This window comes from Homo sapiens, chromosome 19 (genome assembly GCF_000001405.40).
Source record: "Homo sapiens chromosome 19, GRCh38.p14 Primary Assembly".
Lineage (NCBI taxonomy): Eukaryota > Metazoa > Chordata > Mammalia > Primates > Hominidae > Homo > Homo sapiens.
The window spans coordinates 18,678,478-18,694,518 of record NC_000019.10 but is presented as its reverse complement, the minus strand read 5'-3'; the positions used below and the strand labels follow the sequence as shown (position 1 = coordinate 18,694,518).

At 52.2% G+C, this 16,041-nt stretch overlaps 1 protein-coding gene across 2 annotated transcripts in view, besides 2 other annotated features; it reads right to left on the bottom strand.

Annotated features, from left to right (window-relative positions):
* The window catches only part of CRTC1 (CREB regulated transcription coactivator 1), a 98,654-nt gene extending 87,815 nt beyond the window's left edge, over positions 1–10,839 (bottom strand). For both annotated transcript variants that reach the window (NM_001098482.2, NM_015321.3), the window contains exon 1: positions 10,691–10,839. In NM_001098482.2, the coding sequence (NP_001091952.1) occupies positions 10,691–10,816 (126 nt within the window). In that variant the 5' untranslated portion in view covers positions 10,817–10,839. The remainder of the gene's footprint in view (positions 1–10,690) is intronic.
* Positions 10,850–10,939: a silencer, noted in NCBI's record as "silent region_10416". NCBI's record gives its function as "represses an Ori minimal core promoter by ATAC-STARR-seq in GM12878 lymphoblastoid cells {active_cell/tissue: GM12878}" and the evidence as "EXISTENCE:reporter gene assay evidence [ECO:0000049][PMID:35858748]".
* Positions 11,150–11,449: an enhancer, noted in NCBI's record as "active region_14330". NCBI's record gives its function as "activates an Ori minimal core promoter by ATAC-STARR-seq in GM12878 lymphoblastoid cells {active_cell/tissue: GM12878}" and the evidence as "EXISTENCE:reporter gene assay evidence [ECO:0000049][PMID:35858748]".

Here is a 16,041-nt window from a genome sequence, read left to right as displayed (position 1 = left end):
CAAAGCCACAGTGGACCGCATGATCTCTGTTGCATGGGACTATGCTGATGTCCCACAAAAGCAGCCACAAAAAAGGAATAAATGGTTGTGCCCATGTTCTAATAAAATAAAGAGACGTAGCTTACAGAGCTCTGGATTAGTAAGTTATCAATTCAGTGGGTCCCAACTGGTACTTTTTATTTTTTTCTTCGTCTCTTCTTCTTTTTTTTTTTTTTTTTTTGAGATGGAGTCTCTCTGTCGGCCAGGCTGGAGTGAAGTGGCGTGATCATAGTTCACTGCAGCCTCAAGCTCCTAGGCTCAAGGGAACCTCTCGCCTCAGCCTCCCAAGTAGCTGGGACCACAGGCATGAGCCACCATGCCAGCCTATTTTTTTTTTTTTTTTTCTGAGACGGAGTCTCGCTCTGTTACCCAGGCTGGGGAGTGCAGTGGTGCAATCTCAGCTCACTGCAACCTCCACCTTTCAGGTTCAAGCGATTCTCCTTCCTCAGCCACCAGAATAGCTGGGGTTACAGGTGCCCGCCACCATGCCCAGCTAATTTTTGTATTTTAGTAGAGACAGGGTTTCACCATGTTGGCCAGGCTGGCTCGAACTCCTGACCTCAGGTGGTCCACCTGCCTTGGCCTCCCAAAGCTCTGGGATGACAGGTGTGAGCCACTGTGCCCACCCAGCCCAGGCTAATTTTCATATTAGAACAAAACAGAGTACATCAGTGTGCCTGCAAACAGTAAGAGTTAAGCGGGCCGGGAATGGTGGCTCACGCCTGTAATCCCAGCACTTTGGGAGGCCAAGGCGGGTGGATCACGAGATCAGATCAAGACCATCCTGGCGAACATGGGGAAACCCTGTCTCTACTAAAAATACAAAAAAAAGTAGCCGGGCATGGTGGTGGACGCCTGTAGCCCCAGCTACTCAGGAGGCTGAGGCAGGAGAAGGGCGTGAACCCAGGAGGCGGAGCTTGCAGTGAGCTGAGATCACACCGCTGCACTCTAGCCTGGGCGACAGAGAGAAACTCTGTTTCAAAAAAAAAAAAAACAAAAACAAAAGAGTTAAGCTCCTTGGTAAAACCTGTCTTGATTGCACATTTGGTGGTAGGTGCTGGCAAGCCATGAAAAATGAATTTTTTTTTTTTTAGACGGTGTCTCACTCTGTCACCCAGGCTGGAGTGCAGTGGCACAATCTCGGCTCACTGCAACCTCCAGCACCCTGGTTCAAGCAATTCTCTTGCCTCACCCTCCCAAGTAGCTGGGACTACAGGTGCACACCACCACACCTGGCTAATTTTTGTATTTTTAGTAAAGACAGAGTTTCACTATGTTGCCCAGGGTGGTCTCGATCTCTTGACCTCGTGATCTGCCCACCTCGGCCTCCCAAAATACTAGGATTACAGGTGTGAGCTACCATACCCGGCCGAAAAATGAATTTCTTTTTTTTTTTTTTTTTTTTGAGACGGAGTCTCGCTCTGTCGCCCAGGCTGGAGTACAGTGGCACTATCTTGGCTCACTGCAACCTCCACCTCCCAGGTTCAAGCGATTCTCCTGTCTCAGCCTCCCGAGTAGCTGGGACTACAGGCACGTGCCACCATGCCCAGCTAATTTTTTGTATTTTTAGTAGAGACAGGGTTTCACCATGTTAGCCAGGATAGTCTCTATCTCCTGACCTTGTGATCCGCCTGCCTCGGCCTCCCAAAGTGCTGGGATTACAGGCGTGAGCCACCGTGCCCGGCCCAGAAAAATGAATTTCTAACTGCAGAGCCACAAGTGCCATGCCTGTTCCTGAGCCAGGGACATCTGCTCCTCACCCAGCCCTGCAGCCCCTGGTTTCACACACGCTGAGGGTCCAGGAAGCCCTCCCAGATTCCCCAGAGCACGTGGACCTGGTCGCTGCACACCCTAACCACTTCTTTTTTTTTTTTTTTTGAGACAGAGTTTCACTCTTGTTGCCCAGGCTGGAGTGCAATGGCATGATCTCTGCTCACAGCAACCTCCACCTCCCAAGTTCAAGCAATTCTCCTGTCTCAGCCTCCTGAGTAGCTGGGATTACAGGTGCATGCCACCATGCCCAGCTAATTTTTGTATTTTTAGTAGAGACGGGGTTTCATCATATTGATGACGGTGAGGGAATTAATTTCTGTTTTTCATGCCCCTCACTTTGTGGTAATTTGTGACTTTAGCCAGTGGCAAGGAACCCCGGGCCTGACAGAACCTGTAGCACCAGGTAACCTTGTGGACTTCACATCAGGACAGGGCTGCAGCCGCTTGCAGATGCATAAGTCCAGCCAGCTCCAGCTGGCTCCGCAGGTTTTGTGTGGGGTTACCACCGAGGCCCGGAGTGGACCCTTCATTCAGCCCTTTTTAGTAGCAGGGGCCCTTGCTCTACACTGGATGAGACAGAGGGAGACAGCAAGAGCAGGGCCTGGGGTGGAGGATCAGGACCACAGGGTCGGGGTTGGAGTGTAGGAGCTCAGTGTTCGGGTATGGATTGTGTCCTAAGAGTGGGGGTGGGGAAGACCGAGCGCGGTGGCTCACACCTGTAATCCCAGCACATTGGGAGGCCGAGGCAGGTGGATCATTTGAGGCCAGGAGTTCGAGATCGGCCTGGCCAATAGGATGAACCCCATCTCTACTGAAAATACAAAAATTACCCAGGCGTGGTGGCAGGAGCCTGTAATCCCAGTTACTCGGGAGGCTGAGGCAGGAGGATCGCTTGAACACGGGAGAAGGAGGTTGCAGTGAGCCGAGATCACGCCACTGCACTCCAACATGGGCGACAGAGTGAGACTCCATCTCAAAAAAAACAAAAAAAAGAGGCACCGGCAGGCCCATGCTTCCTCCAGAGGCTCTAGGGGAAGACCCTTCCTATCCCTTCCAGCTTCTGGGGGCTCTGGGCATTCCTTGACTTGTGACCACATCGCTCCAATCTCTGCCTCCATTGTCACATGGTCCTCTCCCCTGTGTCTCTGTGTCCTTTCTTGTCTTTTTTTTTTTTTTTTTTTTTTGGAGAAAAGGGTCTCACTCTTTTACCCCAGCTGGAGTGCAATGGTACAATCATGGCTCACCACAGCCTTAACTCTTGGGCTCAAGTGATCCTCCCACTTCACCCTCCCAAGTGGCTGGGACTACAGGTGCACGCCACCACACCCGGCTAATTAAAAAACAATTTTTTTTCGTAGAGATGAGTTCCCTCTTTGTGGCCCAGGCTGGTCTCAAACTCCTGGCTTCAAGTTATCGTCCCATCTCAGCCTCTCAAAATGTTGGGATTACAGGCGTGAGCCACTGTGCCTGGTCCCCCTCCATCTTTTCCTTTTTCTTTTTCTTTTTTTTTTTTTTGAGACAGGATCTCACTCTGTCACCCAGGCTGGAGTGATTATAATTCACTGTAACCTCAAACTCCTGGGCTCAAACAATCCTCCTGCCTCGGCCTCTGAAAACTCTGGGATTAAAGGCATGCATCGCCACTCCCAGCCCACTCTTCTTTTTTTTTTTTTTTTTTTTTGAGACGGAGTCTCGCTCTGTCATCCATGCTCGAGCGTAGTGGCGTGATCTCGGCTCACTGCAAGCTCTGCCTCCCAGGTTCACGCCATTCTCCTGCCTCAGCCTCCCGAGTAGCTGGGACTACAGGCGCTCACCACCACGCCCAGCTAATTTTTTTGTATTTTTAGTAGAGACGGGGCTTCACCATGTTAGCCAGGATGGTCTCGATCTCCTGACCTCGTGATCTGCCCACCCCGGCCTCCCAAAGTGCTGGGATTATAGGAGTGAGCCACTGCGCCCAGCCATGGCCCACTCTTCATAAGGATACCAGTCACCGGATTTAGGGCCACCCCCCCAGGATGATCTCATCTCCAGATCCTTACCTTAATCACATCTACAGAAACCTTTTTTCCAACTAAGGTCCAATTCACGGGTTACAGGGCTAGAAGGTGAGCAGATGCTTTTTAGGGGCCACCACTCAGCCTGCTGCAGGGCATGCAGCTCACAACCTGGGGAGTACTGAGACAGCTTAGCTTTTTGGAGGGGCCTGGAGAGTGATGAGGATGAGGGCAGCTTGCCCCACCTTTTGTTCAGGGAGCAGCTCAGGGAGTCCTGCCTGTATATGGAGGCTGCGGATGGCAGCAGACAGCTGAAGCAGCCGGCACAGAAACAAATAGCGCCAAAGCCAGGACTGGGGGGCGGGCTCCACACTCAGCTAACCTGAGCCACCACTGCGCTGTGCCTGCAGCCCAGGGGCCCGTTTTACTCCAGCTTCACAGTAGGTAACAGCAGGAGAGTGCCCTCCTTCAGCCCTGACCGTGCCACCATGACTGTCTTGCCTGGGTACTTTTTCTGGCCCAGGTGTTGCTGTCTGAGGTCATCAATGATCAGTCATACGAGGAATCCCCAATGTCCTGAACCCCTGGCAAGCAGACGACACTCCCCCCTTCCCTTCCCCTCACCCCCAACATCCAATCCTCCAGCACGTCTGGGTGGCTCTGCTGCAGAAATGCCACCAAATCCACCCGCTCTGTCACCCCCTTGCTCCAGCTATCATTCCCCCTGATCTGGACACCTGCAGCGGATGCTCACACCACACCCATCCCACTCACAGCCACAGCTATCCTCCTGAGACACACGACGTCCTCAAATGGATAAATGGAGAGTTACCAGAGGACCCGGCAACTCTACTCCCCAGCACATGCTCTGAGAAATGAAGATATACATCCACCCAAAAACGTGGACAAAGATGCCAACAGCAGCATGATTCACGACAGCCAAAGGTGGAAACAACCCGTGTTCATGGCCAGATGAATGGACAAAACGGGGTAGACCCACACCATGGAATATGACATGAACTATTACTGAGCCATGCCGGTGACGGTGCACCACACTGGGAATAAACTTAATGCCACTGAATTTTATACTTAAAAAACGTCAAAATGGTAAGTGTTATATTACATATATATATATATATATATATGGCCATCAATTTTTTTTTTTGAGATGGAGTCTCACTCTGTCGCCCAGGCTGGAGTGCAGTGGCGTAATCTTGGCTCACTGCACTCCAGCCTGAGAGACAGAGCAAGACTCTGTCTCAAAAAAAAAAAAAAGAAAGAAAAAGAAAAGAAAGAAAGAAATGAAGCACTGATCCAAGTTAGAGGCTTGAAGTCACTATGCTAAGTAAAAGAAGGCAGACACAAAAGGCTTCATGGTGCAGGATTCGCCTCACTGTGTAGGATTCTATTGATATGAAATGTCCAGAACAGGCAAATCCATAGAGACAGAAACCACATTAGTTGACCAGGTGTGGTGGCTCACACCTGCAATCGCAGCACTTTGGGAGGCCAAGGCGGGTGAATCACTTGAGGTCAGGAGTTCGAGACCAGCCTGCCCAACATGGCAAAACCCTGTCTCTACTCAAAAATACAAAAATTAGCCGGGTGTGGTGGCACCTGCCTGTAATCCCAGCCACTCAGGAGGCTGAGGCAGGAGAATCACTGGAATCCGGGAGGCAGAGGTTGTAGTGAGCTGAGATTGTGCCACTGCACTCCAGACTGGGTGACAGAGCTGAGACTCTGTCTCCAAAAAAAAAGAAAGCAAGCAACCAAAGCAGATTTGTGGCTGCCAGGGGCTGGGCAAGGGGGAGTGGGAAGTAACTGTTGATGGGGACAGGGTCTCTTTCTGGGGGTACGAAATGTTCTCAAGTTGACTGGTGTTGGCTGTGCAAATGTGAATATACTAAAAGCCACTGAGTGGCGGAATGCCATGGAAATGACATCTCAATAAAGCTGTTACAAAAACAAGCGGGGCCAGGCGCCGTGGCTCACACCTGTAATCCCAGCATTCCGAGAGGCCGAGGTGGGCGGATCACCTGAGGTCGGGAGTTCAAGACCAGCCTGACCAACATGGTGAAACCCCGTCTCTACTAAAAATACAAAATTACTCAGGCGTGGTGGTGCATGCCTGCAATTCCAGCTACTTGGGAGGCTGAGGCAGAAGAATCGCTTGAACCCAGGAGGCGGAGGTTGCAGTGAGTCAAGATCGCACCACCACACTCCAGCCTGGGCGACAGGGGGGGCTCCTCCTCAAAAAAACAAACAAACAAACAAACAAACAAAACAAGCAGGGAGGCTTCCCAGACCCCTCCCTCAGGGGAGATCCAAGCTCTTGCAGCCTCACCTGCCCTCCTCCCTGCTTTCCACCCATTCTCAAACTCGCCAAGTCATTCCCACCACAAGGCTCTGACTGTGCCTGTCCCCAATCTGAAGTGCTCTTCCCTGCTCTCTGGGGATGCTGTGTCACCCCTGTCCCAGCCACTCCTAGCACGTGGCTGAGCCACTTCTCTCCCAGCGTGTGCCACCTTCTGAGGGCGTCTGCTTCATTCGGATGCATTGATGCTCTCCTGTCCCCCCTAAAACTATGCTGGCTCCCCAAGAACACAGCCCCGTATGCCCTGTACACTGCAGGAGCCCCAGCACCCCAGGCTCTTGAGACATGCCAGACAATGAAAATTGTCATTTGATGGAATGAACGCGCTGCCCCAACTTTACAACTCAGGATTCTACGGCCCAGAGGGGTTGAGAAACCCACCCAGTGTCACACAGCAGAGCGCCATAGACAGCCTGCCTGTCACGCTGACCCAAGCCTAAGAGTGGGAGGGAACGCCCACACACCCACCCCTCCGCCCCAAGACCTGCAAACAGTCTCCCGACTTTACGCCCTGTCCCCCAACCCTTCAGTGCTTGTGCCCTGGTGAGGTCCCTGTCTTCTAGCCAAACATCTGCTGACTGGCCTTCCACGGCAGCAAGACACCTCAGGTGCCATCACCACCGGCAACTGTGAACAGACACGCATGAGTGACATGCTGTCCTTTGGAATTCAAAGGAGAGGAGCAGGTGCCGACCCGATCATGCCTCACCTGGCTGCAGGTGTGGCCAAACCCCTGCTGTCTACAGTATGGGAGGCAGCGCGCCATGGCTGCAGGAGGGAAGCCCACATCATATAGGTTCATTCACCTGCTCCAGGCACGGCGGACATGCCACTTGGACTGTGCAGTGGCCAGTCAAACTGGGAATAAGCTTGCCCACCCTGGTCGCAGCCTGCCAGAGATGGCACAGCCATATAGGTGGGAGCAAAGGATGGAACTCTACCTGACCAGGTGCAAAGCTCACACCCTGGCCCACCTCACTGTTACACCTCTAATCAAAAGTTTCTCAGCCTTGGCTGGGCACAGTGGCTCATGCCTGTAATCCCAGCAATTTGGGAGGCCGAGGTGGCCGGATCACCTGAGGTCAGGAGTTCGAGACCAGTCTGGCCAACATGGTCTCTACTACAAACCCCATCTCTGCTACAAATACAAAAATTAGCCAGGCATGGTAGCAGATGCCTGTAATCCCAGCTACTCGGGAGGCTGAGGAAGGAGAATCACTTGAACTCGGGAGGCAGAGGTTGCAGTGAGCCGAGATTGCGCCACTGCACTCCAGCCTGGGCAACAGAGCAAGAGTCTATCTCAAAAAAAAAAAAAAAAAAAAAAGTTTCTCAGTCTTGGCACTGCCGACATCTGGGGCCAGATTATTCCACACGATGGGGCCATCCTGTGCACTACATGTAGGGGGTTGGGCAGCATCCCAGCCTCCACCCACCAGATGCTAGAAGCACTCCCTAATCATGATGACCCAAAATGTCTCCAGACATCACCAAGTGTCCCCTGGGGGGCAGAATCACCCCCTGCCCCAGAAAGAGAACAATGCTTTGTGTCTAAAAATCTAGTGTGAACTCACCTCTGCCCAGAGCCCATGCTCCCCTGACCCCAGGTGATGAGGAAGATGGGAAATGGTTTCCAGGGCTGAAAGAACTGCCACCTGCATATCTTCAGAATCTTGTTTTTGTTTTTGTTTTGAGATGGAGTCTCACTCTGTTGCCAAGGCTGGAGTACAGTGACACAATCTCAGCTCACTGCAACCTCCACTTCCCAGGTTCAAGCGATTCTTCTGTCTAAGCCTCCCGAGTAGCTGGGATTACAGGCATGTGCCACCACACCCGACTAATTTTTGTATTTTTAGTGGAGACGGGTTTCACCATGTTGGCCAGGCTGGTCTCGAACTCCTGACCTCAGGTCATCCACTCACCTTGGCCTCCCAAAGTGCTGGGATTACAAGTGTGAGCCACTGCACTTGGCCTCAGAATTTTTCTAAATTCATTGACTGATGAATGGATAAACAAATACAATATATCCATACAACGGAATATTACTTGACCCTAAAAAGGAACGAAGCACTGATCCATGATACTACAGAGATGAACCTTGAAAACATGACGCTGAGTGAAAGATGCCAGTCACAAAAGGCCACGTGTTGTGTGATTCCATTTATATAAAATGCCCAGAATAGGAAAACCCACAGAGACAGAAGACAGCTTAGTGCTTGCCAGGGGCTAGGGGAGGGGGAATGGGGAGTGACTGTTAATGGGGACGGGGTTTCTTTCTGGGTGGATAAAAAATGTTCTGGAATTACAAAATAGGGGTGGTTGCACAACTCTGTGAATATACTAAAAACCACCAAACTGTACACTTTAAACAAGTAAATTGTATGATGTGTGAATCATATCTCAATAAAGCTATTATTTTAAAGAGATGTTTTCAACAACAATAATCTATTTCCAATCCCACGCAGAAACTGGACTTCTAATCAGAATGACACCCATGAACCTACTGTGACCCCTTTCTTCCGGTCACACTGCAAACATTTGACAACAACTGCATGCCAGCACACACCATGTGCTGGAGACAAAAAGAAGTGGCCACTCCTGCCTCAGAAGCCCTGATATGTGGGGGACACTCACGTGGAAGGATGCTCAAGTTGCACACTTTCTTCTTATTTTCTTTTTTTGAAATGGAGTTTCACTCTTGTCACCCAGGCTGGAGTACAGTAACATGATCTCGGCTCACTGCAACCTCCACCTCCCAGGTTCAAGTGATTCTCCCACCTCAACCTCCCCAGTAGCTGGGATTACAGGTAGCTACCACCACGTCCGGCTAATTTTTATATTTTTAGTACAGACAGGGTTTCACCACGTTGGCCAGGCTGGTCTCGAACTCCTAACCTCAGGTGATCCACTGCCTCAGCCTTCCAAAGTGCTGGGATTACAGGCATGAGCCACCACACCTGGCCATTTTCTTATTTTTTTTTCATTCATTCATTCACCAGCCATCTCTTTCTCTACATCCTGAGCAAGAATGTAGCTGCTTGGAGCTGGGAGGACAGATGTGGCACACTCACCGAGCATGCCTAAAGCAGTACCTGGGTGACAGTGAGCTCCCAATCATTACCAACACAGAAATGAAGACACAAATCCTAGTCTATAAGGTCACAATCTCTCAGAGAAACAAACAACTAGTTACAAAGTAACACAGACTGAAAGTGCTACCTAAGGAATCAGAGACTGAGGTTAAGTCTACCTGAGCCAGTCACATCAGTGGCTGAATCTGGAAACCAGGGATACGAGCATCTGCAAAGCCCACCCAAACCCTCCCCAAGGCCCCAGGATGCAGGAGAGAGGTCTCACCACACTGCAAGAACAAAGTGGAGATTCAGCATCACCTTTGCAGAGTGTGCTCACCACCCTGCCCCAAGAGGAAGGTCTTGCTAGAATGCCTGACAAGAAACTGAGGCCTGAGGAACTCGGGTGCCTTGCCGTGCTCAGACACCAGCCCCAAGCCCCTGCTCCTGGCCCACAGCAACTTCCCAGGTGAGATTTGCAGGGTATCTGCTCTGCCAGACAGGAGCCTGGCAGAACCTGGCCTGCCCCTGCACACCAAATGCGCCCAGCCACCTGAGGCAGACCTGGCCCTCCACCCTGGTCCTGAGAGGGCAGGGGCTGTGGTCAGCATCCCCTGTTCCACTGGGAGGAACATCACCTGGCCCCCACCATATGGGCTACATGGAGAAGGGGCAGCTGTCTCCACTCCAAGTTCCAGGACTGAGCACAATCTGCCTTCTTGGCCCCCCTCTGGACCCCCTGGGGGACAGGATCTGACCATTCCCTCAGCTGTCCAAGAGGGAGAGATCCCTGTCCCACCTCAGCTCTGCAAGTGGGGACATCCGTTCCTCCCCCAACACCCAGGGAGTAAAGGCACAGGTAACCATGACGTAGAGACACCGGTCCCCCTCAGGTAGCAAGAATGGGAGGGCATCTGTCCCTCCCAGGTAGCAAGGATGCGGGGGCACTTGCACCCTCACCCCCAGCTACCAATGGTGCTTGCAAGCAGCACCCAGCTCATACACCTGTGTCATCCTGCCCCCCCAGGTAGCAATGATGCGGGGGCACCTGTCCCTTCCAGGTAGTAATAATGTGGGGCACCTGTCCCCCTCGGGTAACAATGATGTAGGGACACCTGTCCCCTGTCAGGTAACGACGAGGTACTAGCACCTGTTCCCTCCTAGTAGTAATGATATAGAGGCCCCTGTCTCCTCCGGGGAGCAGTGATGCAGGGCACCTGTACCCCATCAGGTATGGATTTTGTGGGGTCACCTGTCCCGCCCACGACGCCCGGGGCGTGGGGACACCTGTCCCCCTCGGGCCGTGCCAAGCCCCGCCCCCGCCGCGCGCGCCCCGCCCCCGCCGCGCCCCCCCCCACCCCGCCCCGTGCACGCGCCGGACACGCGCCCCCTCCCTCCCTCCGCCGGCCCTGAAGGGTCGGCGCGGGCAGCCCCCTTACCCGCGCGGCCCGCGTCAGGCTCAGGTCCTTCATGACCTCCTCGAAGGCCGCCGTCTCCTCCGCCTGCTTCTGATTGTGCAGCGCGATCTTCTCGCTGAATTTCCGCGGATTGTTCGAAGTCGCCATCTTCTCGCCGCCACCTCCTCCTCCTCCTCCTCCTCCTCCACCTCCTCGCCCCCCCACTCGCCCGTGCCACCGCGCAAGCGCCGGCTGGGCCCACGGGCGGCGAGCAGTGCGCAGGCGCGCCGGCGGTCGTGAGCGCGGCGCAGGCGCACAGGAGCGGCGCGCGGCGCGGGGGCGAAGGCGCATGCGCGCGCCCAGGCGCGCGCTCGGGGCCCGCGGGAAGGGCGGTGGAGCGCGAGTGGAAATTTCAACGCCGACGCAGTGATCCGCCTCCTGGCCCGCTGGACAGCGGCCTCTGGGCTGTTGGACAAGGACCGCGGATCGGCTGGGGCACTGGAGCCCCCAAGAGGGAGACGGCCTGACCCAGATCCTCCCAATTCACAAGGGTGGGGCCAGGCACCCCCCCCCGCAAGGATTGGTGGCACCCCAAGTTGAACCTGGGTTTGGACTAAGAGCTCTGAAAACAGACTAGGGCGTTGGTCACTCATGCATTCATTCATTCAAGGAATATTTACTGAGCACCTACTATGTGCCAGGCAAACTGGAGTACAGGCGTGAACAAGCAGAGGTGATCCCTGCCCTTATGGAGTGTACAGTCAGAGAGGGGGCAGACATAGCACACAAATAACCAAGAACTTTTCAGATGGAGGTAAATGTGATGCGGTAAATAAGACCAGTGGCCAGCCACAGAACATTAGGGAGGGAGGCTCCTGCAGCCACCACAGACAGGGAGGCGGAAAGTTATCTTAGCTAAGACCTGAACCCTGCAATCGGCTCTCTCAGTCCATAAACCTAGCTGTTGCCCTTAACGACTTTCTTTTTTTTTTTTTTTTTTCCCTTGAGACCGAGTTTTGCCCTTGTCGCCCAGACTGGAATGCAGTGGTGCGATCTCGGCTCACTGCAACCTCCTCCTCCCAGGTTCAAGCCATTCTCCTGCCTCAGCCTCTCCAGTAGCTAGGATTACAGGCAGGCGCCACCACGCCCAGCTAATTTTTTTATTTTCAGTAGAGACTAAAGACCATGTTGGCCAGGCTGGTCTTGAACTCCTGACAGCAGGTGATCCACCCGCCTCGCCCTCCCTAAGTGCTGGGATTACAGGCGTGAGCCACCATGTCCAGCCGACGACTACTTTTTCCCATTCCCTTGCAATGGGCATATTGCTATTCTCTGGATACCTGAGCCCAAAGAACTGGAGTTACAGAGCTTCAGCCTTCCCTCTGCATACTTCTCCAGTCCAGTCTTGTTCAAGGATCTCTATTTTGCAACAAGGTGCTAACAGAAGGGTCCAGAAATCCCATCAAGACTCAGCAGTGAAGGAAGGAGCAGAGACTCCCCCGATGGCAGAGTGGTAAGCCAGGGAAGCAGGAGGGACTCTAACCCTCCCTCCCTCAAGAGAGGGACCCCCAACCACCAATATTGAAAGTTTATATTCAGGAGGCTGCAGGGATTTCAGAGTATGGGCTGGGTGGAAGCTAGGAAGGTCAGCTGGGGGAATTGATGATGGCTCTAATGGCACAACAAGCACACATTTTATTGGACTGAGGATGGCTGGAGGGGATGCTGACATCTTCCAAACATGCTTTGATTCATGCTTTACAACAGGTAATAAAATGCTCATGTTAAATATATATATATATATATCGATTTTCATTTAGAATGCCTTGGATATTGCCACTGCCCTACTTTATCTTTGTTTTGAGACAGAGTCTCACTCTGTCGCCCAGGCTAGAGTGCAGTGGCGCAACCTTGGCTCACTGCAATCTCTGCCTCTCAGGTTCAAGCGATTCTCCTACCTCAGCCTCCCAAGTAGCTGGGATTACAGGCATGCACCATGATGCTCAGCTAATTTTTATGGGATTTTTTTTTTTTTTTTTTTTTTGAGACGGAGTCTCTGTTTCCCAGGCTGGAGTGCAGTGGCACAGACTCAGCTCACTGCAACCTCTGCCTCTGGGGTTTAAGTGATTCTCCTGCCTCAGCCTCCCAAGTAGCTGGAATTACAGGAACCCACCACCACACCCGGCTACTTTTTGTATTTTTAGTAGAGACAGGGTTTCACCGTGTTGGCCAGGCTGGTCTTGAACTTCTGACCTCAGGTGATCCGCCCGCCTCAGCCTCCCAAAGTGCTGGGATTACAGACATGAGCCACCGCACCCGGCCATCTTCCTTCTTGATATGATTTTGCGCACTTTGGTAAGCTCCTATACTTTTTGCCTAACAAGCATATTCCTTCTCTCAACCCCACCCACTCCCTCAACTTTTTAGTGTCAACAACCCTTATTTGGGGAACACTGGTTCTGACTTTCAGTCTGTGAGATGTGAATGGCTGGTCTCACCACTCTCCCACCACACAAACACCCCTCCCTAAGGTGGAAGTCTTGGCCAATCAGCATAGCCCATTGTGCTGGCCATCAAGATTGGTTCAGGCCAGGCTGGGTGTTGTGGCTCATGCCTGTAATCCCAGAACTTGGGAGGCCGAGGCAGGAGGATCATTTGAGCCCAGGAGCTTGAGACCAGCCTGGGCAACATAGCGAGATTTAATCTCCACTAAAAATAAAAAAATTACCTGCGCGTGGTGATGCCTGCTTATAATCCCAGCTACTCAGGAGGCTGAGACAGGAGGATTGCTTGAGCCTGGGAGATGGAGGCTGCAGTGAGCTATGATAATGCACTGCACTCCAGCCTGGGTGACAGAGCAAGACCCTGTCTCAAACAAACAAACAAACAAACAAACAAAAAACAGGCTGGGCGCTGGGTCATGACTGTAATCCCTACACTTTTGGAGGCAGAGGCGGGCAGAACACCTGAGGTCAGGAGTTTGAGACCAGACTGGCCAACATGGTGAAACCCCATCTCGACTAAAAATACAAAAAAAATTAGCCAGACGCGGTGGCACACGCCTGTAATTCCAGCTGCTGGGGAGGCTGAGGCAGGAAAATCACTTGAACCCAGGAGGTGGAGGTTGCAGTGAGCCAAGATAGCGCCACTTCACTCTAGCCTGGGCAACAGAGGGAGACTTTGTCTCAAAAAAAAACAAAAGATTAGTTCAGCTGGGCCAAAAGAGTGGACCCACACAGAGGAAAACAGAACCAGGCCTGGCACGGTGGCTCACAACTGTAATCCCAGCACTTTGGGAGGCCAAGGTGGGTGGATCACTTGAGGTCAGGAGCTTGAGACCAGCCTGACCAACATAGGGAAACTCCATCTCTACTAAAAATACAAAATTAGCTGGGCATGGTGGCACATGCCTCTAATCCCAGCTACTTGGGAGGCTGAGGCAGGAGAACAGCTTGAATCCAGGAGGCAGAGGTTGCAGTGAGCCGAGATCACATTACTGTACTCCAGCCTGAGCTTCTGGATCCAGCCATTCCTGAAGCTAGACTCACCTGCCTTTTAAGTTATGTAGGCCAAAAATTTATTCCCTTTTGTGCTTGTCTATTTGTTTTCTTGTTTGTTTGTTTGTTTGTTTTTTCAGACAGGGTCTCACTTTGTTGCCCAGGCTGGAGTGCAGTGGCATGATCATGCTCACTGAAGCCCCAACCCTTAGGCTCAGGTGATCCCCCCACCTCAGCCTTCCAGGTAGCTGGGACTACAGGTGTGCATCATCATGCCTGGCTAATGTTTTGTGGTTTTTGTAGAGACAGGATTCATCCTGTTGCTCAGGCTGGTCTCAAACTCCTGGGCTCAAGTGATCCGCCCCCCTCAGCCTCCCAAAGTGCTGAGATTACATGTGTGCACCACCGTGCCTGGCCTGCCTAAATCTATTTCAAGTCCTTTTTCTGTTCCTGGTTCTGACTGAGACTGCAGCTTCTGTGAGTCCAATGCGAGACTGGGCCCGCTACATATGTGGCTTCTAGTTCTTTTTTTTTTTTTTTTTTTTTTTAAACAGAGTCTCGCTAGGTCTCCCAGGCTAGAGTGCAGTGGTACGATCTTGGCTCACTGCAACCTCCGCCTCCCAGGTTCAAGTGATTCTCCTGCATCAGCCTCCAGAGTACCTGGGACTACAAGCGTGCGCCACTACGCCCAGCTAATTTTTGTATTTTTAGTAGAGATGGGGTTTCACCATGTTGGCCAGGCTGGTCTCGAACTCCTGACCTCAGATGATACTCCCACCTTGGCATCCCAAAGTGCTGGGGTTATAGGCGTGAGCCACCACGCCTGACCGGCTTCTAGTTCTTGACAGCATCCTGTGAGGTCAGAGAAGAAATAAAGACAGAGAGCAGGGACAGCAGCTGCCCTAGCAACTTATGCACCAAAACTCAGGCCTCACAGCCGACCTCAGCTGCTTTCACACACTGAGTTTTGTAGGCTTTAAATGAAGTTAGCCAGGCGTGGTGGCTCACGCCTGTAATCCCAGCACTTTGGGAGGCTGAGGCGGGCGGCTCACCTGAGGTCAGGAGTTTGAGACCAGCCTGACCAACATGGAGAAACCCCGTCTCTACTAAAAATACAATATTAGCCGGGCGTGGTGGCACATGCCTGTAATCTCAGCTACTCGGGAGGCTGAGGCAAGAGAATCGCTTGAACCTAGGAGGTGGAGGTTGCAGTGAGCCAAGATTGCGCCATTGCACTCCAGCCTGGGCAACAAAAGTGAAACTCCATCTCAAAAAAATACATAAATAAATAAATAAAATAAATGAAGTTAATAAGTGTCAACTGCCTTACTTCTAAGAAGTGCTCCGTAATTGATGCCACTTACCCTAATCAATTACATGTATCTTTTTTTTTTTTTCTTTTTTGAGACACAGTTTCGCTCTGTTACCCAAGCTGGAGTACAGTGTTGCGATCTCTGTTCACTGCAACTTCCAACCTCCGCCTCCCTGGTTCAAGCAATTCTCCTCCTACTTCAGCCTCCCGAGTAGCTGAGATTACAGGGGTGTACCACGACGCCTAGCTAATTTTTTCTTTTTTTTGAGATGGAGTTTCGCTCTGTCTCCTAGGCTGGCGTGCAGTGGTGAGATCTCGGCTCACTGCAGCCTTCACCTCCTAGGCTCAAGCGATTTTCCTGCCTCAGCCTCCTGAGTAGCTGTGACTACAGGTGTAGGCCACCACACCCGGCTAATTTTTGTATTTTTAGTAGAGACGGGGTTTTGCCATGTTGGCCAGGTTGCTTTCGAACTCCTGACCTCAAGTGATCCTCCTGGCTCGGCTTCGCAAAGTGCTAGGATTATAGGCGTGAGCCACTGCACCTGGCCCTGTAGGCTTTAAATGAAATTCGTATGTGTCAACAT